Source organism: Homo sapiens, chromosome 10 (genome assembly GCF_000001405.40).
Source record: "Homo sapiens chromosome 10, GRCh38.p14 Primary Assembly".
NCBI lineage: Eukaryota > Metazoa > Chordata > Mammalia > Primates > Hominidae > Homo > Homo sapiens.
In genome coordinates, this window is record NC_000010.11 from 58,204,626 (window position 1) to 58,232,409 (window position 27,784).

Here is a 27,784-nt window from a genome sequence, read left to right on the forward strand (position 1 = left end):
TCCACAAAATAATTTAAAAATTAGTTGGGTGTGATGGTGTACACTTGTAGTGTCAATTACTTGGGAGGCTTAAGTAGGAGGATTGCTTGAGCCCAGCAGTTCGAGGCTGCAGTAAGACACGATCACGCTACTGCACTCTAGCCTGGATGACAGAGCAAAGACCCAGTCTCAAAATAAAATAAAATAAAATTTAAAAAAGAACAAAATTGGAGGACTCATAATTCAAAACTTACTCCAAAGCAACATTAATCAAAACAGTGTAGTACTTGGCATAAGGATAGACAATATGAAAATGGAAAACATTTATGGTCAAAAATTTAATTCCAACAAGGGTATCAAGAATATTCACTGGGGGAATAACAGTCCTATCAACAAATGGTGCTGGGACAACTGGATATCCATATGCAAAAGAATGAAGTTTGACCCCTTCCTTAAAGCATACAAAAAATTAACTTAAAATGTATCATAAGTCTCAATACAAGAGATAAAATTATAACATTCTTACAAGAAAAATAGGAGTAAATCTTGATGAGTTTGGGTTAGGCAATGGTTTCTTAGATTTTACACCAAAAGCCTAGGTAACAAAAAAAAGTAAATTGGACTTCAAAATTAAAAATTTGGAGGCTTCGACAAATACTATCAAGTAAGAAAATCAGATTAGAAAAAAATTTGCAAATCAAAAGTTTGATGGATTTATATACAGCTCAATAATTAAAAACAAAATGTCTGAATAGACATTTTTCCAAAGAAGACATATGTAGTCAAAAACATTGCACATGAAAAGATGCTCAACATCATTAATCATTAGAGAAAGGCAAATCAAAACCACAAGGAGATGCTACTCGACACCTACTAGGATGGCTTATAGCAGAAAAACAAAAAGGAACAAAGGTTTCAAGAATGTGGAGAAAATGGAACCATCATGAATTGCTGGTGGGAATGTAAAATGAACGGTGAAGCCACCATATGTTCTCACTTACAAGTGGGAACTAAGCTATGAGTAAACAAAGGCATACAGAGTAATACAATTGACTTTAGACACTTGGAAGGAGAAGAGTGGGAAGGGTGGCTAGGGATTTAAAAAACTACATATTAGGTACAATGTACGCTACTCAGGTGATGAGTACGCTAAAATCTCAGAATTTACCACTATATAATTCATCCATGTAACAACAACAAAAAACTGTACCCCAAAAGCTACTTAAATAATTTTTTAAAAAATTAAATAACTAAATAAAATGGTAAAGTCACTTTGGAAAAACACTTTGGCAGTTTCTCAAAAAGTTAAACATAAACTTAACCTTAGGACCTACCAGTTGCACAGTTAGGAATCTACCTGAGAGAAATAAAACATATACCTACACAGAAACTTCTATACAAATGTTCATAACAGTTATTAGTAGCCCAGAAGTAGAAACAACCCAAAGTCCATCAATGAATGAATGGATAAACAAAATGTGGTATATCCATATAATCGAATATTATTTGGCAATAAAAAACAAAGTACTGACTTATATGACAACATGGGTGAACTTTAAAAACACGAAACTAAATCAAAGAAGCCAGTCACAAAATACCACACATTGTACTGTAAATTTGATTTATATGAATCGTCCAGAAGGGGCAAATCCATAGAGATAGAAAATAGATTAGTGGTTCCCTAGGGACAGGGAGTTTGGAAGGAAATTGGTAGGGACTGCTAATGTGTATGAAGTTTTTGCAGAAGTGGTAAAAAATACTGTAAGTTGAATGTGGTAATAGTTGCCCAAGTCTATGAATTGATTAAAACCAGTGAACTCTATACTTTAAATGATTAACAGAATGGTATGTAAATGACATCTCGCTAAAGCTATTTTAAAAAACTAAACCTCTTTAAGAAATAAACCTCCATTTATGTCTAGGGAAACAATAAATCCCAGCAGAGTGAAATCATACAATACCCTATTTGCTTATCCTGTCCATGTACCCTAAAGGTAATGCAAACCCAAAGAAGAGTTTACTATTATTATTATTTTATTTCAATAGCTTTTGGGGAATAGGTGGTTTTTTTGTTACATGGATAAGTTCTTCAGTGGTGATTTCTGAGATCTTGGTGCACCTGTCACCCAAGCAGTGCACATTTTACTGAATGTGTAGTCTTATCCCTCACCTGCATCCCACCCTTCCTCAAGTCCCCAAAGTCCATTATCTCATTCTTATGCTTTTGCATCCTCAAAACCTAGCTCCCACTTGTGAGAGCCTATAGTATTTGGTTTTCCATTCTTGAGTTCTCTTAGAATAATGGTCTCCAACTCCATTCAAGTTGCTGCAAATGCCACTATTTCACTCCTTTTTATGGCTGAGTAATAGTCCACCATGTATATATATATATATCACATTTTCTTTTCTTGTTTTGAGACGGAGTCTTGCTCTGTTGCCCAGGCCTGGAGCGCAATGGCACGATCTCAGCTCACTGCAAACTCCGCCTCCTGGGTTCAAGCGATTCTCCTGCCTCAGCCTCCTGAGTAGCTAGGACTACAGGCACCCACCACCAAGCCTGGCTAAATGTTTTGTATTTTTAGTAGAGATGGGGTTTCACCATGTTAGCTAGGATGGTCTCGATCTCCTGACCTTGTGATCCGCCTGCCTCGGCCTCCCGAAGTGCTGGGATTACAGGCAATCACATTTTCTTTATCCATTCATTGGTTGACAGGCATTTAGACAGGTTCCATATTTTTGCAACTGCGAATTGTACTGCTATAAACATGCATATGCAAGTGTCTTTTTCATATAACAACTTCTTTTCCTTTGGGTACCCAGTAGTGGGATTGCTAGATCGAATGGTAGTTCTTTTAGTTCACACTGTTTTCCATAGTGGTTGTATTAGTTTACATTCCCACCAGCAGTGTAAAAGTGTTCTCTTTTCAACACATCCATGTTAAAGTCCATTTGTTCTAGGGTATAGTTTAAGTCCATTGTTTCTTTGTTGACTTTCTGTCTTGATAACCCATCGAGTGCTGTCAGTGGAGTACTGAAGTGCCCCACTATTATTGTGTGTTATCTCATTTCTTAGGTCTAGTAGTAATTACTTTATGAATTTAGGAGCTCCAGTGTTAGGTGCATATATATTTAGGATTGTGATGATCTTTTTGCAATGAATTTCCTAGGATTTCTTTGCGTTTCTTGTAATTGATGTCTAGATCTCTAGCAAGGCCAGAGAAGTTTTCCGTAATTATTCCCTCAGATAAGTTTTCCAAACTTTTAGATTTCTTTAGGAAGACCAATTATTCTTAGGTTTGGCCATTTAACATAAACCCCAATTTCTGGGAGGCTTTGTTCATTTTTCTTTTTTTTTAGATGTAGTCTTGCTTTGGTGCCCAGGCTGGAGTGCAGTGGCGCGATCTCGGCTCACTGCAAGCTCCACCTCCCGGGTTCACGCCATTCTCCTGCCTCAGCCTCCCCAGCAGCTGGGACTACAGGCGCCCGCCACCACGCCCGGCTAATTTTTTGTATTTTTAGTAGACATGGGGTTTCACCATGTTAGCCAGGATGGTCTCGATCTCCTGACCTCGTGATCCACCCGCCTCAGCCTCCCAAAGTGCTGGGATTACAGGTGTGAGCCACCACACCTGGCCCTGTTTTTAAAATTTAAGTTGCTTTCCACCTTTCTCTGGTATCTCCTTGAGTAGCTTAATAATCAGCCTTCTGAATTCTTTATATGGCAATTCAGAGATTTCATCTCGGTTTGGATCCATTGCTAGGGAGCTACTGTGATCTTTTCGGGGTGTTATAGAGCCCTGTTTTTGTCATATTACCAGAATTAGTTTTCTAATTCCTTCTCGTTTGGGTAGACTGCTTCTTCAAATTGTTCTTGAATATATTTTTGATTTGACTGTTTTTTATTTACTTTTTCTCTCTCTCTCTTAAGGATTAGACTTTAATGTTCATTTTAGTCTAAACTGATTCTTGGTACTTGTAGGGATAAAGACTCTGTATGAGTTCCTTAGTTATAGAGAGTCTTTGTGTGCTGGCTTTCCCTAATGCTGGCTATAGTAGTTATATTATTAGTGTGTGGGTGAGTTCACTGTCTCCTATAGAGTTGGAATGGCAGGGATCTCTTGAAGCTTATCTTGTTCTCTCGTGGTGTACACCTTATTTATTTAATTTTTTCCTAAGTTGATGATTCCGGCTTCAGGCCCATAGAGGGGGTATCCCTGCATAGGCAGCAGATGTCGCTAAGGCAGGTGAGTAGATGTAATACCCAATGGTGGGCCAAAGTCCCAGCCTTGATGAGGGTAGCTGGGGTGGCTCTCAATTAGATGTGCTGAGGATTTATCAGAGTGAAGAGTGGGAACTACCACAGCTTCCCTACCAAGTCAGCGGGAAAACTATTTACCTCACAGCCTCACTCCTATACTAGTGTTTCAGCTATTCTGATCAGACAGGCACCTCTTTTCATCTATAGGAATGTTGTTATTCCAAACAGGGAGTGATTGTGACTCTGCCTCTTGTGCAGGCCTGAATCTGGGGGGTGCTCCTCCTGTCAGGCTGCACTTACCCTGGATTATTCCAGAATGGCTTTCTATAGGTGCCTCCATGCTGCATTCCTGTAGGGGATGCCCCAGCTATGTCTACAGTGGAGTCCTGGGGAGAACAAGGACCTCTTCTCCAAGGTCCTTCATGATCACAGTGGCTGCCCGCCTGTTGCAGTGTATATGCAGACTTTCCCAGCTGTACCTAGCACTGCAATTGTGTCTCTGCTGTGAGAAACTACCCACCAGTGAAAAGATCTGGAACTCAAGGCCTGCTGTTCAGATTCTTTTGTCCCACAGGGTGATCCTTTGATGTGGTGCTCTCCCTATTCCCCTGGCGATGGGGCTTCCTGAGAGCCAGACTGTAGTGATCGTTATTGTTCTTCTGGGTCTAGCTACTCAGCAAGGCTACCTGGCTCCAGGCTCCGGTATGTGCTGGGAATGTCTGCCTGTGATGCGATCAGTCTTCAGGTCTCCCAGTCATGGATAACAGCACCTGCTCTAGTGGAGGTGGCAGGGGAGTGAGGTAGACTCTGTGAGAATCCTTCATCGTAGGTAGGTTTAGTGTGCTGGCTTTCTCGAATGCTGGTTATGCTAGCAGTGAAGTTGTTACATGGACAGACTGAGGACCACTGGTTAGTCAGGGTGTTGGAGGCAGTAGCTTTAGCGGTTGTTTTCTCCTTCCTGGGAGCAGTTATTCTGTCATGAGTTGCTGTAATGGCCTGAGTTGGTTGGCCTCCAGCCAGGAGGTAGTGCTTACAAGAGAGCACCACTTGCAGTATTGGCAGTAGGATCTGAGCTTGCCCTAAGTTGGCAAGGGGGAATTATTCTGATTTCTCACATGATGGGCAATGCCATAAAGCTCCCAAGAGTTTATGTCTTATCAGGGCAGGTAGAGAAAAACCATCAGGTGGGGGCAGGGTTAGGCAGGTCTGAGCTCAGACTCTCCTTGGGTGGGGCTTGCTGCAGCCACTGTGGGGGATGGGGGGTGGTTCTCAGGCCAATGGGATTATATTCCAGAGGAACGTATTGCTGTCTGTGCTGTGCTGTATAGTTTGCCAGAGAAGTGGGGAATAGCCAGTAGCGAAGGGACTCACCCAGCTCCCACGCAGTTGGCGAGGCTGGTGTTGCTCCCACAGTGCATGTTAACAGCCCCAAGTTTAGATCTGGGCAGCCTGCATGTGAAACACAGACCTGCCCTGGGCCATAAGCTTCCCCACTGAGAAAGCAAGCATGGCTTTCAGGCTACACCCCTCCTTGTCTGCCAACAATGGTGATGGCTCCTGTGCTCCTATCTGCAGCATTTCCCATTTGCCCCTGCATTCTGCTCAAGTAAGTTCGTGCCCACTTGAAATTGCCACAAAATTCAGCTGCAAGCTTCTTTCACCCTGTGACTAGTCCCTAATTCCGCTGGCTGCCTTCCCTGAGATCCCATGTGAAATATAGTCAGGGATTACTTCCCTGGGCTTGCGCTGGAGACTGGGAGTACCTACGAGGCTGTTCCTGCTGTTGCTTCTACTTTTACATTTTACGTGGCCCCCTAAATCCATTCCACCTCTAGGTAAGGTTAAATCCTCCAACTGTGATCTGGATTCTCAGATTCACTCAGGGGGTATGTGTTCGAAGGCAGGTCTTCCCCCCTCACACTTTGGGAATTCACAGTTTTTCACCTAACTCACAGAGTTTGCAGTGATCCTTTCAAAAGATCTGTGAATTCGTTTGGTTTTCCTGGTACTTTCCTGTGGTGGTTTTTGGAATGATAGTTCACATTGTGAATCTCCACACACTGTTCTGTCCATCCACGTGGAAGATGCACATTAGCCCTGCCTCCCATCCACCATCTTCCTCCCATCTGACAGAAGAGTTTTTGAATAGGGAACATCATGATTAGATATACATTCTACAATGTTTAGAGAAAGAATTATAAAATAACAAAACTGAACTTGAGAGACTAGACTCTGGAGAGGGATAATAGTGATAATGGGACTCGAGAAGTTTAGGAATCAAGATCAGTAGGATTGATGGATGGCTGACAGGTAACAGTGATTACCCGGTTTTTTTTTTTTTTTTTATGAGACAGAGTCTCGCTCTGTCACCCAGGCTGGAGTGCAGTGGTACAATCTCAGCTCACTGCAACCTCCACTTCCTGGGTTCAAGTGATTCTCCTGCCTCAGCCTCTCGAGTAGCTGGGATTACAGGCGTGTGCCACCATATGCAACTAATTTTAATATTTTTTATTAGAGACAGGGTTTCGTCATGTTGGCCAGGCTGCTCTCGAACTCCTTACCTCAGGTGATCCACCCACCTCGGCCTTGCAAAGTGCTGGGATTACAGGCATGAGCCACCACACCCAGCTGACTACCCGGTCTCTAATGTGTAAAACTGGTTACATGGTGATTCCATTTACTGAGACAGGGAATAACAGGGATTTGTTTTTAGGCTGGGCACAGTGGCTCATGCTTGCAGTCCCAGCACTGCTTGGGATTGCCCAGGATCACTTGAGCCCAGGAGTTCAAGACCAGCCTGGGCAACGTGAACCTCATCTGTACTAAAACCTCAGTGCAACAGTGAAACAGTGCACAGTAGCAACAATGAAACCTCATCTGTACTAAAAAAAAAAAAAAAAATCAGCCAAGTGTAGTGGCACATGCCTGTAGTCCCAGCTACTCGGAAGAGGCTGAGGCAGGAGGATCCGGAACCCAGGGGTTGAGGCTGCAGGGAGCCATGATCTTGCCACTGCACTCCAGCCTGGGTGACATCTCACCAAAAAAAAAAAAAAAAAAAAAAAATTTGTTTTCATTGTTGTGGTTGTTGGTTTGCAAGAGGGATAATGAGTGTGTCAGTTTTGTGGGGTTTTTTTCCCCAACTAAATTAGAATCTTTTTATTCTCTTAGTAATCTCTTCCAGAGTCAACTACTTCCATTGTAGGTGATAAAATGTATAAGGTCCACTTCAGATGTTGGCATTGCTATGAGCATGGTCTCTCCCCTTTACTGCAACTCAGAATTAAAACTTTTGCTTCTTATTTTTTATATTCCAGTTCCAGAAGTAGTTTCCACCGTGAAAGTTATTTAACAACAGTCTTATTCTTTCTAGTAGTGGCTTACTACCAGGCTCCAGCTTCTTCAGGAACGTTACAAGATGGATTTAGTTTAAATATGTATTAAAGTAAAAGGTATTCTATCAAATGAGTTTAAATGCATTTTGTTTTTAGATAACCTACATGACACGTTTTTCTTAAAAACAATGCATCCACTCCATGCATCCATAGTCAAAATAAATGAAAAGCTCAAGATGACATCAGTACCATTTGTCTTAAGACCTGGTGTTGTATGGATGACAAGCAGCAGCCAGTTATGATGACAGGTGATAGATCCAAAGTAATTGCCGAATTTGTTAACCCTTTTCCATTTCTGAACCACCCTTAAAGAAAATCATTTATGGGATCACTATCCTCATGATAGTCCAACAGAGCAACCATGCCATCTGGATTCATGTTTTCACCAGTAAAGAACTAGTAGCTTTTGCAATCAGCAAGGATGTGCAGCCTCTGTCGCAAAAGGTTTTACTTTTTCTGGTCTCTGTTCTTCAAGTTTGCCTTTGATTGTTTTCATGTAATCTTTGATGTAGTTCTTGTAGGTGTTTTTTGTGAAGCTGGTTTCTTGCAAGTGATAGTCTGTGACAGTATCAACAGTGATAACTGTGGTTTTGGTACCTTTGCCCTCGGGACCTTCAGCAGAGGCATTTCCGCCAATGAGCAAGTCATCAGTGTTACCCTCTGTCCTACTGACCATATTCCCCTCCACCACCAGGCACAGCCCATCTGCAATCTCCCAAATCTCATAAATGTGGAATAACACCTATCTCATCATAGCTGATGAGATGCTGGTAAACAATCATGATGGCAGCTGAAGGGAGACAGAGGACAGTGGTGCTAGCTTAGCAGGAGCCGGGAGCTCTGGGCGATGGTGGTGGAGCTAGAGTGCTCCAGGAAAGGGGAACCATGGAAAAAGTTATGTCAGTTTTTTATGTACTGAGTTCAAGATGTCTTTAAGCACTTAAGATATTTAAGTAAGGTATCCAGTAAGTTGTTAGATGTACATATCAGGAGATCAAAGAAAAAGCAGAGCCTGCTGATAAACATTCATGAGTTATGTGTGTAACTAAAATGAGAATAGAGAGCCCTGCTTAAGAAGAAATAGAAAAGGAAGGCAGATGTTAAAATGGAACCAAGAGGAATACCTCAGCATTTAAAGAATAAATAGAGGCTGGGCGCGGTGGCTCACGCCTGTAATCCCAACACTATGGGAGGCCAAGGCGGGCGGATCACAAGGTCAGGAGATTGAGACCATCCTGGCTAACATGGTGAAATCCCATATCTACTAAAAAAAATACTAAAAATTAGCAGGATGTGGTGGCGGGTGCCTGTAGTCCCAGCTACGCGGTAGGCTGAGGCAGGAGAATGGCATGAAGCCAGGAGGCGGAGCTTGCAGTGAGCAGAGATGCGACACTGCACTTCAGCCTGGGCGACAGAGCGAGACTCCGTCTCAAAAAAAAAAAGAAAAAAAAAAAGAAAAAATAGAAATGGGCTGGCAAAGAAGATTGCAAAGTGGCCTTAGGCAGAAACCAGGAGAGAGATGGGTGCCATAGATTCAAAGAAGAATGTTTCAAGGAGGGTGTGGCTGGCATTGAAAGCTACTTTTCAAAGTAAAGTAAGGTAATGAAAAATGCCATTTGGAATTAGTGGCATGGTGGTGCTTAATGAAGAGCTAATCCATTAGCATGATGGGGCAGAAGCCAGATTAGAATGAGCCAAATACTGAATGGGAAATAGGGAAATAGAAATAACGAGTTTGGTTGTAAAGCCGAGACAAGCTAAATCTGCAGTTGGAAAGCAAAGCAGGTTAAAGGTGGGGTTTTGATGTTTTGTTTTTTAAAAAACTTGACAGTGATTTGAAGATATTTAAAGCAAAATGATAAAAGCCAGTAAAGAGGCAGAAGTTGAAAATATAAGAAAGATAAGAGAAAATCAATAGTATAAGGTTCTTGAAGAGATAAGAAGGAATGAGATTCAGAGGGCGTACAGAGGAACTGTCCTTAGATAGGAGGACGGAAAATTCTTCAATGTGACGGGAAAGAACAATGAGGGAATAAAAGCAACTGCAGGTAAGGCATGTGCATCTGTTAGCAAGAAATTAAGGGAAATCCTGTTGGATGATTTTTATTTTTTCTAAAGCAGAAAGCAGTCATCTGCTAAAAGTCAGAAGGAAAGAGGGAGGGTGAGAGATCTGAAAACAGTGGAGGCTTAAATAGTTGCCCAGTCAGATTCCTATGGGATGTTTATTTCCTGTTTGTTTTAACTGTATTCCATTACCATTTTTTCTTTTTCTATACATTCATATTTAATTATAGTTTTCTAAAATGAAATAACTGCTTGAACAATTTCTCTGGTTTTATACATAACCCAAATATCAAATTCAATTTTGCTATTACCATCACAATGACAATTTATCTATCATGCTTCCTATTAGCTCTTCTGTTTAAAACTCAAAAAGGAAGATCCATATATCATTTTACATGAATTTCAGAACTACCCATTATGCTTACATATAGATAAACAAGTATTTGGTATATCCACAAATTTTACCTTCACGCATCTAGAAGATGCAGCATTTGTTTAGAGGACTTTACACCACATTACTTTGTTTTTTCTCTTTTTTATCAAAATGGCCTCAACAAAATTCTCCTCACCCTGTGCACATTGCTATTCATGCTGTGACTTTGCCTTTCCTACCATCGGAGGTGGAGTCTGTTTTCTCGCCCCATAAATCTGGGCTAGCCCTGTACTAGATTTTGCCCTATAGAATTTCATAGAAGTGACAGCAAATAAATTCCTAACCTAGAGTTTAAGAACCCTTATATTCCTCCTTCTTAGAATGTGGTACTTCAAAATTAAAAAGCCCAAGCTAGCCTTCTGACAGATAAGACCACAAAGAAAAAGACCCAGCCAACAGTACCAACTTCCTGACACAAGAACAATTCTCTGGTTTTACATACAACCCAAATAAATGAGAGAGAGTCATTTTAGACCATCTATACCCAGCTGAACCATCAGATGATTGCAGAAGGAACCCTAAATAAGATCAGCAAAAGAACTGCACACTTGAGACTAGCTCAAATTGCAAATTCACAGAATTGTGAGAAAATGAAACAACTGTTTTAACCCCAAAAGTCTGAAACAATTACCTATTTTTTTTTTTTGGTAGGGGGGTGGCGTTGTTTGTTTTTCTGAGACAGGGTCTCACTTTGTCACCCAGGCTGGAGTGCAGTGGCATGATCATGGCTCACTTCAGCCTTGACCTCCTGGGCTCAAGTGATCCTCCCACCTCAGCCTCCCGAGTAGCTCGGACTATAGGCACACGCTACCTCTCACCCAGCTGGTTTTTGCATTTTTGTAGAGATGGGGTTTTGCCATGTTGCCCAAGCTGGTCTCAAACTCCTGAGCTCAAGCAATCCACCCACCTCAGCCTCCTGAAATGCTAGGATTATAGGCATGAGCCACTGTGCCCGGCCACACAATTACCACATTTTAAATTTCTTTTATATTTTGAAAATGCAGAAAAATGACTGAATATATATATTTAGCACTTTTCTCATGGGAAAATCATAAACAATATCACATTTACATTTAATATTTGCTTGCACCTAAATTTAAGACTTCTTTAAAACAAAATTACCAGAATTATAGTCCTGAGATTCAGCCATCCATCCATTTATTTATCAATCACCCTACTATGTTCCCGAACCAGAGAAACTGACCATATATCAGTGAACAAAAAAAAAAAATTTTTTAATCCTTGCCCTCACTTTTCACATTGGGGAGTTACAGACAACTCAATTCCAAAATACATTATTTTCTGATATATTAGTACTACAATGACATCCATAATTTTCAAGGGAAGAACATGTACAGAGAAATGTGCATATTATACTAATAAGCACTCTTACCCTCATGCCAAGCACCAAGAACCCAATCTCTTCCATTAATGGGTACTTGCTGACCTGTTGCTGAATCTTCTCAGATGAGGCAAAAGGATCATAGCTTTTTTGCCCTATCTTTACATCCATTATACAGGGCTTATTAAATTTATGGGTCACATCTTCCAGTTTTAGGTATAAATCTGTTATTAAAGAAAAATATTAATTAGTAATAGGCAAACATATTACTACTCAAGTACTTGCCAGGGAAAAACAAGATGAGAAAATCCTAAAACAGAGAAAAAAGTTAAAATAAATGTAAAGTCAATAATTATTCTTAACTCTACCTAAAAAAAAAACCTAAACAACAAATTTATAACAAGTATAAACATCACAGAGAAGCTCTTGCAGGAGGTGAATTAAATAAATTCAACCACAAGCAAAAGACAGCAGATACGAGGTTTCCAACAATATTAAAAAGGCAATGGGATCATTTCAAAAGCTTTTCCAGAATGCATTCCCCTTGTGAATACAATTTATGCCATATGTTTCAGCAGAACTCTTAGTATTTTAATAATTTTTAAAAATTGATTCATTTAAAATTAGTAATAGGAATAAATCCTTCCCACAGAGTAATATAACAGAAGTACAGATTAAGAAAGGGTAAACCTATCCAAATGATGATAATTGTCAAATATACATTCAAGTCTCACCAGTTTCAAAGGAAAAACACGAATCTTGCTTTTTATTTTTTTGAGACATGGTCTTGCTTTGTTGCCTGGGCTAGACTGCAGTGGCCAATCTTGGCTCAGTGTAACCTCCGCCTCCCAGGATCAAGCAATTCTTGTGCCTCAGGCTCTCAAATAACTGGGATGACAGGCGTGTACCACTGCCTGGCTAATTTTTATATTTTTAGTAGAGATGGTGTTTTGCCATGTTGGCCAGCCTGGTCTCGAACTTCTGGCCTCAAGTGATCTGCCTGCCTCGGCCTCCCAAACTGCTGAGATTACAGGTGTGAGTCACCATGCCCAGCCCATCTTGCTTTTTTTTTTTTTTTTTTTTTTAGAACACAGGCATTCCCCAAAAGTTGTTCTGTATATCATGCTGGCATCCTGCACACATCTTTCCACAAAAAAATTAAATAGAGATTCAAATACAGTATTATAAAAGCCCCAGTTATCATACATGGCTGACCTGCTTTTAGTTTTAGTTTGAAAGCCAGGGTCCAGGTCCCAAGGGAAACAGTAAGGAAAGAAATTCTTCCCTCCTTTCCTGGGTTAAAGAACCGTCTCGGCCAGGTGAGGTACCTCACGCCTGTAATCCCAGCACTTTGGGAGGCCGAGGCAGGTGGATCACCTGAGGGCGAGAGTTTGAGACCAGCCTGACCAACATGGAGAAACCCCGTCTCTACTAATAATACAAAATTAGCCAGGCATGGTGGCAGGTGCCTGTAATCCCAACTACTCGGGAGGCTGAGGCAGGAGAATGGCTTGAACCTGGGAGGCAGAGGTTGTGGTGAGCCGAGATCGCGCCATTGCACTCCAGCCTGGGCAACAAGAGCAAAACTCCATCTCAAAAAAAAAAAAAAAAAAAAAGAATCATCTCAAAGTTCTGAATGAGATCATGACTCATTTTTTAGTTAGGAATGTAACAAGAAGTATTTCTCCTCAAACACAGAAAAGATTACTATCAGTGAACATGACAAATAAGGTTAGAGAAGGTGTTTATTTTCTCTGAATTAAATAAAAGAGTACCGGGGTAAGAGAAGCCTTACTCTCTGATGTCCTTTCATTATCCCCATTCCACCAAGACTAGCATAGCTGCTGAATTACAATAAAGAAGTTTATGCTCAAACAAAAGTGAGAACCCAGTTAGGGCTTGAAAAATTTTTAAGCCCCTCAGATTTAAAAGGAATAAATCTTCTCCTTCAAAGGACAAGAGATACTTTTTATGCTTTAGTCAAAGAAGAAGAGAGCAGGGTTATAACTCTGTAGAACTAAGTGAAGTTAAGCCCAAATATGACAAAAAAGTTACTGCAGTCCAAGGGAGAAGCACTGACACACCCAAGGAGCCTTCCACACTTGAAAGAAGGGTTTTCCCAGACAGACAATTTCAGGATAAGAGAAAACAAAAGATCTTGACAGAGATATGAAACTGCTGTCTGTGAAAACTAATGGGACAAGTGGAAATATCCTGATCAAGGAGTTGGAATACACCCAAGCTTCTGTGTCTAAAAGATAACCATGGATGGTATGAGAGAAGAAAGAAGCACAGGACATTTACCTTCAGATTTTCTCCTCCCATCTCCAACCACCTTAAGCAAAAAGGAAGAAAACAGATCCAGCCCCACTCTAGGGCTGCTCAATAATTTCAGTAAAAAGACTTGAATTTCAAATATCAGAATAAAGCTAATTAGATAGTAATACATAGTACAGTAGATCCTTGGCATTCAAAAATTTATTATCATTAATTTAGACTCAAGAGACTCCAGAAATCTTACTGGGGTCAAGTTGTATATGGGAGTATAAAGATAGTGAGAGAACGTAGCTAAATGTCACAGCATCTATATCTCACTGTAGGGTTAGTGTCTTCTACCTGTCAACCTGACAGTGATTAAAAACAAACAACAAACTTTTTATGATAAGATAAAGATAAGAGAAGCTAGGGTAGAGGCTTTGCAACTCTGAAATAAAATCTCCTATCTCTTACTTTTTCTTTTTGAAAGGAGGAAAATACAAATGCAAACTCTATATATAGTGGAAATACAATAAATGTTTGCTGAATGAATGTTTGCCCTTCCCATTCCTATTGTCCAGTGAAACTTTAGACTTGGCCTTCCTCACACTATAATAAATTGAGGCACCCCTTCAGTAAATAGGGATGAATATCATGGGTTTTATTTGATATTTTGTTAGACTATCCAAATGTGTTTTTCTTTACTTTACTTTCAGGTCCTTCTTATGTTTCATATGGTTGGAATTACCAAATAACTGCTAAATTATTTCTTATTCGCCTTCAGAAATAAAACCATAAGTTAAGCCTAGTGAAGAGTGGTTTGGTGTTTTCTTTCTGTTCTCTAATCTTACATTTTTTTAAGTGAAAATAAGAATTTGAGATTCTCATTTCTATCTTTCCCTCTGAGTTAAAAAATAAACATCAAAACCTGCTTTAGAGATGCAGAATTCTTATGAAAGAATGCGATACCATGTCTTTCACAACTTGACTGCAAGTGCTTTTGAAAAAGGTAAATAGAAAAACAGGGCATGATCTGAGCATTGAGATTTTTACTGATTTACAGGCTGTCATTAATAGAAATAAATCTGATTATTAATTCACCCTGAAAAATGCTATTAGCAAATTCTTTCCCTAGAAGAGAGTTTAATTCAAGGTAGATCAATCCTGAGACTCAGTTACTTAAATGACCAAAGACATTTTACTACAGGCAGCCTCACTTACAAAGCAATGCCAAATTCTGGATTAACAAAGGACACCTTTTCGGCTAGGCCCCTCTGGGTATAGAGTGGAGCAGTATTTTTCCATTTCTAGGCCACAACCCATCATTGGATTATGAATTCAACTTAATAGGTTGTAACTAAGTTTCCTAAATGAAAGAGAAAAGAGAATATATGAGACTATCTCACAGATAGTAAGACTAAGTATTGTTGTCTGGGTTGGTCTGTCTTATAAACATTGAGTTGCAATGTAAAAATGTATTTATTACGTATCATAGACAAAGAAGTTTATTCCCCCCATGCCCTAAAGGCCCAGTGTTTTCTTGTTTTTTTCCTTTTAGACAAAGAAGTTTTAAAAACACTTGACTAGATAGAATGTCACTCTGTCATTAGCATGTCTGCCCAGCTCAAGAACTATCCTCAGTCCTACAGAAGTGGTCCCTTTGCCAACACCATCATACTTTGGGAATCCAGCCCATGGCCCACAGTCACTGACTGGGGCAGGAGCAAATATCTGATACAAGCTTGGTCAGTCTTGCCAATTTGGAAATGGAATGCAGAGAAAACCTGTTGCTGACCTCTGTGGGTGACTGGTACTGTAACATGTAAGTCCCTTGGTAGGGAGGGGAGAGGTGTGGATAGCAAGGAAGGCAGAGGAGAGAAGAGGAAGGGTTAAGTAAATATGCAGAGAGAGATCTCCCTGGGCTTTGATAGGGTTCAGATTCTAGTTCCAGTCCCATCTTAGACTCAGATGCATGGCCCTTGGCTTTCATAAGACACCCTCATATCCTTATAAGAACTTTTCCTTGTTGCTTAATCATGTTCAAGTTCATTTCCATAACTTGTGCCCAAAGAATCTTAACTGAGATGATAAAGTTTAAAGCAACTGCTTTAGAAGAAGAAAAAGGAGGCTCAAATCTCAACTCTATAATTTGCTAGCCTGTGACCTCAGGAGCACTTCTCAAAACCTCAATTATATGTAAAATGCAGATAATTACAGACTCTACCACAGGGATATTAAGAAGACTAAATGAGATAATATACAGTAAAGCACTTAGCATAGTGTCAGTCCTCATCCCATAAATGCAGGTTACACATTCCCATATCCCCTCCAAAATAAAATTTCATACATTCCATATATAATTACTGTCAAGGCACACAGGTGAAGAAAACAGATAAAAACCTGCCTTCATAGAGCTGCTTTTGAAGAGTTGAAATCGCATTACACTTAGCATAATTGCTGCTACGTATTTGGTACTCACTGAATATTTATTCATTTTACCTCTAAGTATATATAAATATTAAACAAGTAAGTCACTGATAAGTATTAAAACCTGCTAACCATGTTAGGTCACCAATGAGTACAGGTCTAACTTTGATATTCAGTATAAATAAAAATAGAAGATGATTCCCTGGAGTCTATTCTTACCCTTCCAGATGAGACAAGCATAATACACACAAAATTAAAAGATGTATTCATAACTCAATTATGCACTTGATAATGGATATTCTCCAACCCTCAGGCTAATATCAAGCCTTAGCCTTTAGTTATATTAAAAAGAATACTTATATGTAATAAACCTACTTATTACATATTGATTTCACCTCAAGTTAAAGTAACTCTCTTTTGCATGTGTCATGACTGCAAAACACACTCAATCTGACCACTAACCTCAAGTATGCCCTTAAAGTTGCTCAACTATCATGATCTGTTTCCCAAATCTCCTCACTTTTCCATCCTCTGAGACTACTATTTCATCCTTCCTTCCCCCATCATCCATAAGCTCAGCTTGCCTATTTTTTTTTTTTTAAATTCTGAAGAAAAAGCTACAGATTAGTCAAGGTTATAGATAGTAAAGATTACTACAGTAAAGATTACTACAGCTAGGTTTTCTTTGATGCAATAATAACATAAAAAAGATGACAGCAAATAAGAAATTTGTTCTAAGACTGATCCAAAAAAATATAATGAACTAAAAATAAGATAGATTTCTGTTGTTATTGTTGTTTGAGACAGGGTCTTACTCTGTCACCCAGGATGGAGTATAGCAGTACAATCATGGCTCACTGCAACCTCAAACTCCTGGGCTAAAGTGATCCTCTCGCTGCAGCCTCCTGAGTAGCTGGGACTACAGGTGCATGTCACCACACCCAGCTAATTTTTATTTTTTTTCTTTTCTTTTCTCTTTATTTTATTTTTGAAACAGGGTCTCTCTCTGTCGCCCAGGCTGGAGTGCAGTGGTGTGATCTTGGCTCACTGCAACCTCCACCTCCTGGGTTCAAGCAATTCTGCTGCCTCAGCCTCCTGAGTAGCTGGGACTACAGGTGCCTACCACCATGCCCAGCTAATTTTTGTATTTTTAGTAGAGACAGGGTTTCACCATGTTGGCCAGGCTAGTCTTGAACTCCTGACCTCAGGTGATCCACCCGCCTCAGCCTCCTAAAGTGCTGGGATTACAGGCATTAGCCACTGCACCTGGCCTAATTTTTAAAATTTATTGTAGATATAGAGTCTTGTTATGTTGCCCAGGCTGGTCTTGAACTCCTGCCTTAAGCAATCCTCCTACCTTCGCCTCCCAAAGTGCTGGGATTACAGGTGAGAGCCAATGTGCCTGGTAAGATAGATGTGTTCTATCTGGAATAGTTTAAGTTCACTCTGTTCAAGGTCAAGAATATAAATTAGGCTATATTAATATGATGATTGGAAAATATCTTGTAAAATAATTATGAGTATTTCACATGATGTAGTTTACAAGTAAAGGCAGAATTTTGAATATTAGAATAGAGCTTAATTTTACATATCTATATACCTCTCATAGACGTGTGTGTATCATAAAGATAGCACAATTAACTAGATTTACTTTTATAACTCTGGAAACTCTATTTAGGACTCTTATGAAGTGAGTCCTGCAGAAGTCTAAGGACTGGCACTTGTAAACCCCAGATCTAAGACAGAGAGTCTGTAAAGCTTAGTGCTGGTACTTGTATAATAAATAAAAGGATATCTACTCTTCATAAATATGTGGAGTTCATTTCAAGAGGTAACTATGTTTAGAAATAAAGCTACATTTAAGAGGCTATGGCTAATAACCTATCACTTATTAATTTATAGAAAGTATATAAAGAATTTCTATAGTGCCTTAATTTTTCTGAGGTAAAGATCATGAAAATACCACGTGTTCAGAAATATAACACTTCCTGCTGTTTTAAGTAGACTACATAAGATCACTCTGTGGCTTTACCAAGGATATTGTTTTCATGCCCAAAATATTTATGTATTTCATGATGCTGATGATAGTATGAGATTATATTAAGTGAAGTAACTCAGGAATGGAAAACCAAACATCATATGTTCTCACTCATAAGTGGGAGCTAAACTTTGAGGATGCAAAGGCATAAGAACAATACAATGGACTTTGGGGATTCCGGGGAAAAGGCGGAAGGTGGGTGAGGGATAAAAGACTACACACTGGGTACAGTGTACACTGCTCTGGCGATGGGTGCACCAAAATCTCAGAAATCACCACTAAATAACTTATTTATGTAACCAAACACCACCTATTCCCCCAAAAACCTATTGAAATTTTAAAAAATTTAAAAATAAAGATTACACAAGGTTACTATGAATGAAACTTTTCTATCTTGTTTAACATACATAATTAAATATAACTATCTTAAACGTAAGTTAAATATACATATTGTTTTATAAGTGTTAGGTATAAAAAAAATTCCTTTAGCTAATTTTCTACTGCTAGTCTTGATACCCTAAGAAAAAGAGGCAAAAAGAGCCCTACAGAAAAATCTCGAAAAATCTACAGATCACTAAATAGTAAAGATGAAATAACTAGTTCCTTTAAAGGGAAGGCAACAGGGAGGGCATTTAGGGAATTGAAAGAATACTTATTTACAGCCCCTTAATCAATATTGTTGATTTCATAAATTACGAAAATATGGGTTTCAAATTTCATTAAGGTTTTCCTCATCCTATCTGGAAAATCTACTAGGTATCAGCTACCATCTTGATTTCTAAACCTCATAAAAAAGGAGGAAAAGCCAGATGAAGAACCACTGCTCGATTATGAAGCCAACTGGAAAAACAGATGATATGGTTTGGCTCTCTGTCCCCAACCAAATCTCATCTCTAATTGGAATCCCCATGTGCTGAGGGAGGAACCTGCTGGAAGGTGATTGGATTATGGGGTGTTTTCCCCCAAGCTGTTCTCATGATAGTGAGGGAATTCTCACGAGATCTGATAGTTTTAAAAGTGGCAGTTTCCCCTGCACTTTCTCTCTCCTGCCACCATGTAAGACGTGCCTTGCTTTCCCTTCACCTTCCACCATGATTTTAAGTTTCCTGAGGCCTCATCAGCCATGCAGAACTGTGAGTCGATTAAACCTCTTTTCTTTATAAATTATCCAGTCTCAGGCAGTATCTTTAAAGCAGCATGAAAATGGACTAATACAATAAGACCTTTCTTTTCCACATCAATCTTCAGCTATTTCTGAGAACAATACAAGTTGAAAGCAGAAAGAATAATAAGTAGAGACCTTGGGTCCCCAGATTAGGGGTGAAGGAAGAGGTATGCAACAGACATGTATGTCAGCTTGTTTCAGTTCATGCCTCCTGCAACATGACTAGTAGCTAGCTCCAGAAAACTACCAATCAATCAGACTAGAGATTACATTTTGAAAACTCTCAATTTTTTCAAACCTACTCGATGTTATACTTTTCTATCCCTCCAAATAATTATATCCAACAGTTTTTGATGCTACATGTATTAGCCTTTTATGTGTTTATACACAGGTACAAAAGATATTTACTATATATAACTAGCATGAAATGTTCAAAGATAATTGCCAACAAATGTTATATTTTTAAAATTCCACTGCTCATGTTCTAAAATTAGATAATTGTGATGATTGTATAATTCTGCGAATATACTAGAAACCACTGAGTTGTATGCTTTAAATGGATCAGTTTTATGGTATGTAAATTATATCTCAATAAAACTATCATAACAAAATTAAAAGAAAAAACCTCATTGGTCAGAACATTCTTATTCTTCAAATTATTATATGATAATTTGTTGAACAAGTTGGCTTTCAGCATTTTACTACTTTGGATTATTAAAAACAGTATCAGCTTTATAAAACTCTACCCTGGACACATAAGAAAAGATACCCAAACAACAAGAACAAAAACCAACAGGAAATAATGTCATTAGTTTTAGACTACATAAAACACAGTAACGCAAACCATAGTATTCTACTACAACTCAAGCAAATATGTTTTCATGATCCTGTGGGCTAAACATGTACATAAGTTTGCTGTCTTCTATTTCTTTCATTTGCAATCAAAAGGATAAAAACAGAAAGATGATTCTATGAAGTTGCTAGTAAAATCAAAAGAAAACAATCTGCATGGTCCAACAGTTTTGTCCCACTTCTTCCAGAGCTAACAAAGTAGGAAAGAAGTAGAAAATCCCTTGAGGCAACTGTTGGTACTACTGGACCACTCTGTTATCATATACACTTTATTCCTTGTCCTTTTTTCCCTTCAGTTTACATTTTTCCTCTCTTCACTCAGCTTCCTCACTTCATCCTCTCATCTTAGGAGCACCAATATCTCCATTTATTTTCAAATGAGAGAATTAGAGTTTATAAAATATTTTCACATAAGATAACATGCATCTTTACAACTTGGTGGTATTACTTTCTATTTGTAGAAGAAAACGTGGAGCTCAAAAAGATTACTGAGTTAGCCAAGTTCACAATATTTGTAAATAACCAAGATAGAGGCCAAATATTTTTACTTCAAAGTTACTGCTCCTTCTATATTAGCATAGCTGAACTTCAAGATTATATAGTATTGAAGACCAAAAAGGTTGATTACTAGCAATCCCTTGATTATTTAAATCATATGCTAGTAACCCTAAACTAAAAAGGCTATCTTTAATTAAAATGTTTCTTCTCTTATCCAAATTCTTTCTGTATACTCTATTCATAGTAATTATGCTGTATTTGCTAGTTATTCTACTCTTTCCAAACAATCTTTTAAACTAAGCATTTAATTACGTAGATTTTCAATCAAACACCATCCTCAGCAACCTTCATTAATTTTTCAGCGTCACTTTACTGAGGAATAATGATTTACTCTAAATTAAACAGCAATCAGTAGCAAAGTTCATTGGAATCTAGATACTGTACCTTCTCCTTTCCTTTATCTCATTTATAGCATTCCTGAAAACTTCCACTTACAGCAAAGAGGGAAAAAAAAGGAAGGCATTAAATGGGTTTGCGAGAGATTATATAGGGAATGATGACCAAAGGGCAATCATAATGACTTGTAAACTAATTTAAGCAAAATGTTGATCTGAATCATAGACAAATAGATATAGTTAGGACTAAAAAGACCTGTAAGCCCACAAAAAAGAAGGAAGGAATTAAGGGAGGAAGGAAAAAAGACAGTTAATAGAGCTTTGGCTCACTTTCTTTTTTTCATACAATTAAAGTACAGAGGAATCATAAATACTCAAGGGAGCCATCAATTTACTATCAGCTAGCTGAGGATACTCACAGAGAGATACCAGGGTTCCCTATTAGTGAAACCTGGCACGCAAAGTCATTAAGTTAAAGGAAGACAAGAACTGACAAAAGGAATAGGCAGGCTCACACTGGAATCCCCTTCTCTTTCTGTCCTCAAAGTGTGGTTCAAGAACTATCCACATCAGAAACACCCATGGCTTTTATTTAACAGGCATATCACTACACTCCAACATAGACCTGTATAAACAAAATGTCTGGGAGTTGGCCTTACATATTTGCATTTTAACAAGACCATAGGTTATTTTTAAACCCACTGAAGTTTGAAGCCCTTTCCCCTCAATTCACCTTTGTCAATGGTCAGTCAGTCAAGCTGCTTGTTTAATTAAATTGTATGTGTTTTGGCAAAGGCCTTCTGGGGGCAAATACTGCTTCAGGTATTAGTTAATCTTAAAAAAGAGAAATTCTGTGCCCTATTTAGGTCATTTTATTCTCTATGAAACTTACCAGTGCTTTTCAGAAGACTGTAATTTAAAGCCTGGAGGTGAGGGATGAAGGAACAGGATAAGAGACTGGGAGGAAGTCATGCAGAGACAATATTTTTCTTGATTTTTAAAAAATCACTCAAAATGGGAAAAGAAACTACACAATAAATTAGGACAGAACATCTGCAAATTAAGATAGTATTAAGTCTATATGCTTCCATTCAACTATAAGAGATTGGCCATTTACTTGTATATGCCATTTTAGAAATGGTTATGAAAACAAAAGTATTAATAAGTTTCATTTAGTGAAAGAAAGATTAGAAAGCAAAACATATATATTTTGTGTTTTTATAATACATACTCAGTTAAATTTTAATTTTACATAAGGCCTTTAAAGAAGCTACACTCATGAATTAAAACTGAAAGATAATTTTTATGACAAGATTACCGTTTGGTGCAGTGGGAGGTGACCAGATGCCATAATATTTTGGCAAATATTTTCGTAGCTCTAGAAGAACACCATCAAAACAGTCAGCAGCATAAACCTGAAACAGAGAAATATAACATTGCTAGATTCTTACAATGCTTTGTAACTGCCCTGCACATTTCTCAAATAAAATTTATGTTGAATTATAATTCATCTGGTATGGCTTCAATTGCAAGTAAATTTGGAACAAGCAAAAAATATTACTGTGTGTCTCCAATGAGTAACTATGTATTTAGAGTACACTCTTCTTGGTTATCTAATTCTAGCCTTTTACTATCGAACTATTTTACAACTTTGTAAGTTATAGATACTGATAGCAAATGCAAAATAACTCTTGTCCATAAACATGTAAATAAATTCTGGCCAGAGGACATTCTTCTGACTTTCCTCCATGCACCCTGAGAGGAGGAAATGTAGTGGCAATATGAAAATTCACATCAAACTTCCATTATTCCAGATAAATGTGTGTTTCTTTAACTTCTCTTTTGAACAAGTTTTAACATTTATCTGGTTCCCTCATTAAATAATATGTTAAAGCAAATCTTTAACACATATTTGTTTTATATCTACATGGTGATTTTTGCTTTTATCTTTTTTAAAAAAAATCCTTTAACACAATGTAAGTCTAACTGCTGCTCATTTAATTCCTTGATTTGTAACCATTAATAATGCTAAAAGATATTAGAAAATTCTAATATCCTAGAACTAGATTCTAGTTTTCCTAGAAGACAGAATATTTTTTGTTTACAAAATGGCATGTAAGACATGTTATCCAATGATCTTTCCTAAATATTCTCTACCTAATTATCTAAAATTAATGAAGTTTACTGGTGTAAAATGCTTACGAAAACTTAGTATTAGAATCTAATTATATATGCCAAACCATATTTATGTCAAGTAGTTGTATGCAACATAATTCTTCAGAATAAACTCAAGTGTGGCAGACTCTTGGCAGACCAAATATCCAAGTGGTACATTGTATTTCCCAGATTCCCCTGTTGAAATGTTAGAAGTGATTCATATTAGTCACTTCCAGGCCAAGGTAATTTAGAGTAAGTATACCTGAACGTCCCTCTATTCCTAGCACAATGACCGTGGGTGCAGTGCTGAGGATGAGCTAATTACAAGACGGAGGAATGAAGTAGATCTCTGTGTACTGATCTAAAGAACTCCATGCTATATTTATACATGAAAAAGATAAAAGGCATATTACATAAAAATATATATAGCAGGTCTATGAAATTAAGTAAGATACATATGTGTGTATCATCTCTGTAAAGGCACAGAAAAAATTACAAATATTCATTTGAAACTACTCATAGTTTAATTCTGGAATGGAAATGAAAGAGAGATAAATTTTCTCTTCTTATTTAGAATATTTTTTAAAAGTAGTGGGACTGGTGTTTACTGCAACATGCCAGGCAAGATAACCTAAAAACCTTTCTTTTTTGTGTATGTGTTTTGTTTTTTGAGACGGAGTCTCGCTCTGTCACCTACACTGGAGTGCAGTGGTGCAATCTCAGCTCACTGCAAGCTCTGCCTCCTGGGTTCACGCCATTCTCCTGCCTCAGCCTCCCGAGTAGCTGGGACTACAGGCGTCCGCCACCACACCCAGCTAATTTTTTATATTTTTAGTAGAGACGAGGTTTCACCGTGTTAGCCAGGATGGTCTCGATCTCCTGACCTCGTGATCCACCCATCTCAGCCTAAGATAACCTAAAAACCTTTCTATCTTGAAATGTAGAATAAAATATAACAAATATTTTCTTAAATGCATAGCTGAGCTCTCAAGGAAAAAAAAGGGAATTCTTCTTAGTTTTGCATGCCTATGAAACAAAAGTGTTAACCCAAGCAGTGATGTTTGGGCTTCACAGAGGTTCACTCAAGACCTGAACCAAAGGATCTCAGAACTCAGGGATGAGGCAGAGCTGAGGACAGAGTTACTATACTGAAACATGGAGAGTAAATAAAATTCAAAATCCTGAAAAATAAAAATCTTGGCTTACTTCTCTCTCCCCCAACCACTGAACTCCAAGAATGCTGGCAGCTAAGCTTACAGAGAAAAACAGAGAAGCAGCAAACAAACAATATTAGGAAAGAAAAGGGACTCTCAACTGATAGAGCAGAATTTTTTTTTTAAATACTAGGAAAAGCTTTGTCAAGAGGGCAATTTGTATTTAAAAAATAATCTAGGCCAGGCATGGTGGCTAACGCCTGTAATCCCAACACTTTGGGAGGCTGAGGTAGGTGGATCACCTGAGGTCAGAGGTCAGGAGTTCCAGACCAGCCTGGCCAACATGGCAAAACCCTGTCTCTACCAAAAATACAAAAATTAGCTGGGCTGGGCGGCATGCACCTGTAATCCCAGCTACTCAGGAAGCTGAGGCAGGAGAATCACTTGAACCTGGGAGGTGGAGGTTGCAGTGAGCAGAGACTGCGCCACTGCACTCCAGCCTGGGCAACAGAGCGAGACCACGTCTCAAAAAAAAAAAAAAAAAAGTAATCTAAATATATTGTACTATCACATTAACAAATAAAATAAAAATCTGAAGAACTTTAAGAAATCAAATCACTGGTTAAAAATCTATCCTTCCCAGGAACAAATGAAAGAAAGAAAGCATGAAAAAGAGGAAAGAAAGAGGGGGGTGTTCCAAGATGGTCGAATAGGAACAGCTCTGGTCTGCAGCTCCCAGTGTGATCGACGCAGAAGACGGGTGATTTCTGCATTTCAAACTGAGGTACCTGGTTCACATCATTGGGATTGGCTGGACAGTGGGTCCCTCACCAGGGAAGCACAAGGAGTTGGGGGATTTCCCTTTCCTAGCCAAGGGAAGCCGTGACAGACTACCTGGAAAAACGGGACACTCCCATCCAAATACTGCACTTTTCCCAAGGTCTTAGCAACTGGCAGACAAGAAGATTCTCTCCCATGCATGGCTCAGTGGGTCCCATGCCCACGGAGCCTTGCTCATTGCTAGCGCAGCAGTCTGAGATCGAACTGCGAGGCAGCAGCCTGGCTGGGGGAGGGGAATCCACCATTGCTGAGGCTTGGTAAACAAAGAAGCTGGGAAGCTCGAACTGGGTGGAGCCCACTGCAGCTCAACAAGGCCTACTGCCTCTAGACTCCACCTCTGTGGGCAGGGCATAGCTGAACAAAAGGCAACAGACAACTTCTGCAGACTTAAACGTCCCTGTCTGACAGTTCTGAAGAGAGCAGTGGTTCTCCCGGCATGGTGTTTGAGCTCTGAGAACAAGCAGACTGCCCCCTCAAGTGGGTCCCTGACCCCCGTGTAGCCTAACTGGGAGACAGCCCCCAGTAGGGGCCAACAGACACCTCATATAGGCGGCTGCCCCTCTCGGACAAAGCTTCCAGAGGAAGGATCAGGCAGCAATATTTGCTGTTCTGCAACATTTGCTGTTCTGCAGCCTCCACTGGTGATAACCAGGCAAACGGTCTGGAGTGGACCTCCAGCAAACTCCAACAGACCTGGAGCTGAGGGACCTGACTGTTAGAAGGAAAACTAACAAACAGAAAGGAATAGCATCAACATCAACAAAAAGGTCATCTACACCAAAATCCCATCTGTAGGTCACCAACATCAAAGACCAAAGGTAGATAAAACCACAAAGATGGGAAGAAACTAGAGCAGAAAAGCAGAAAATTCTAAAAATCAGAGTGCCTCCTCTCCTCCAAAGGATCACAGCTCCTCCCCAGCAATGGAACAAAGCTGGACAGAGAATGACTTTGACGAGTTGATAGAAGTAGGCTTCACAAGGTCGGTAATAACAAACTTCTCCGAGCTAAAGGAGGATGTTCGAACCCATCGTAAGGAAGCTAAAAACCTTGAAAAAAGATTAGATGAATCGCTAACTAGAATAAACAGTGTAGAGAAGACCTTAAATGACCTGATGGGGCTGAAAACCATGGCAAGAGAACTTCATGATTCATGCACAAGCTTCAATACCCAATTCAATCAAGTGGAAGAAAGGGTATTGGTGATTGAAGAACAAATCAATGAAATAAAGCAAGACGACAAGGTTAGAGAAAAAAGAGTAAAAAGAAATGAACAAAGCCTCCAAGAAATATGGGACTATGTGAAAAGACCAAATCTACATTTGACTGGTATACCTGGAAGCGATGGGGAGAATGGAACCAAGTTAGAAAACACTCTTCAGGATATTATCCAGGAGAACTTCCCCAATCTAGCAAGGCAGGCCAACATTTAAATTCAGGAAATACGGAGAATGCCACAAAGATACTCCTCGAGAAGAGCAACCCCAAGACACATAATTGTCAGATTCACCAAGGTTGAAATGAAGGAAAAAGTGTCAAGGACAGCCAGAGAGAAAGGTTGAGTTACCCACAAAGGGAAGCCCATCAGACTAACAGCGGATCTCTCGGCAGAAACCCTAAAGCCAGAAGAGAGTGGAGGCCAACATTCAACATACTTAAAGAAAAGAATTTTCAACCCAGAATTTCATATCCAGCCAAACTAAGCTTCGTAAGTGAAGGAGAAATAAAATCCTTTACAGACAAGTAAATGCTGAGAGACTCTGTCACCACCAGGCCTGCCTTACAAGAGCTCCTCAAGGAAGCACTAAACATGGAAAGAAACAACCAGTACCAGCCACTGCAAAAACACACCAAATTGTATGGACCATCGATGCTATGAAAAAACTGCATCAATTAATGGGCAAAATAACCAGCGAACATCATAATGACAGGATCAAATTCACATATAACAATATTAACCTTAAATGTAAATGGGCTAAATGCCCCAATTAAAAGACACAGACTGGCAAATTGGATAAAGAATCAAGACCCATTGGTGTACCGTATTCAGGAGACCCATCTCACATGCAAAGATGCACATAGGCTCAAAATAAAGGGATGGAGGAGGATCTACCAAGCAAATGGAAAGCAAAAAAAAGCAGGGGTTACAATCCTAGTCTCTGATAAAACAGACTTTAAACCAACAAAGATCAAAAGAGACAAAGAAGGCCATTACACAATAGTAAAGGGATCACTCAATTCAACAAGAAGAGTTAACTATCCTAAATATATATGCACCCAATACAGGAGCACCCAGATTCATAAGGCAAGTCCTGAGAGACCTAAAAAGAGACTTAGACCCCCACACAATAACAATGGGAGACTTTAACACCCCACTGTCAATATTAAGACATATCAACGAGACAGAAGGTTAATAAGGATATCCAGGAGTTGAACTCAGCTCTACAACAAGCAGACCTAATAGACATCTACAGAACTCTCCACCCCAAATTAACAGAACATACATTCTTCTCAGCACATCACACTTATTCTAA

General features: G+C 39.1%; 1 protein-coding gene and 1 pseudogene across 1 annotated transcript in view, besides 1 other annotated feature; both read right to left on the bottom strand.

Moving 5' to 3' along the window:
* IPMK (inositol polyphosphate multikinase) overlaps nucleotides 1-27,784 on the bottom strand; it is a 76,378-nt gene that overhangs the window by 13,109 nt on the left and 35,485 nt on the right. The window contains exons 3-4 of the mRNA NM_152230.5: nucleotides 22,418-22,514; nucleotides 11,520-11,692 (exon numbers count right to left, since the gene is read on the bottom strand). Of these exons, the coding sequence (NP_689416.1) occupies nucleotides 11,520-11,692; nucleotides 22,418-22,514 (270 nt within the window). The remainder of the gene's footprint in view (nucleotides 1-11,519; nucleotides 11,693-22,417; nucleotides 22,515-27,784) is intronic.
* Nucleotides 5,709-6,209: an enhancer, noted in NCBI's record as "H3K4me1 hESC enhancer chr10:59970095-59970595 (GRCh37/hg19 assembly coordinates)". NCBI's record gives its function as "activates a minimal SCP1, AML or CMV promoter by ChIP-STARR-seq in primed H9 embryonic stem cells {active_cell/tissue: H9 hESC(primed)}" and the evidence as "EXISTENCE:reporter gene assay evidence [ECO:0000049][PMID:30033119]".
* Nucleotides 7,700-8,831, bottom strand: TPT1P10 (TPT1 pseudogene 10; annotated as a pseudogene).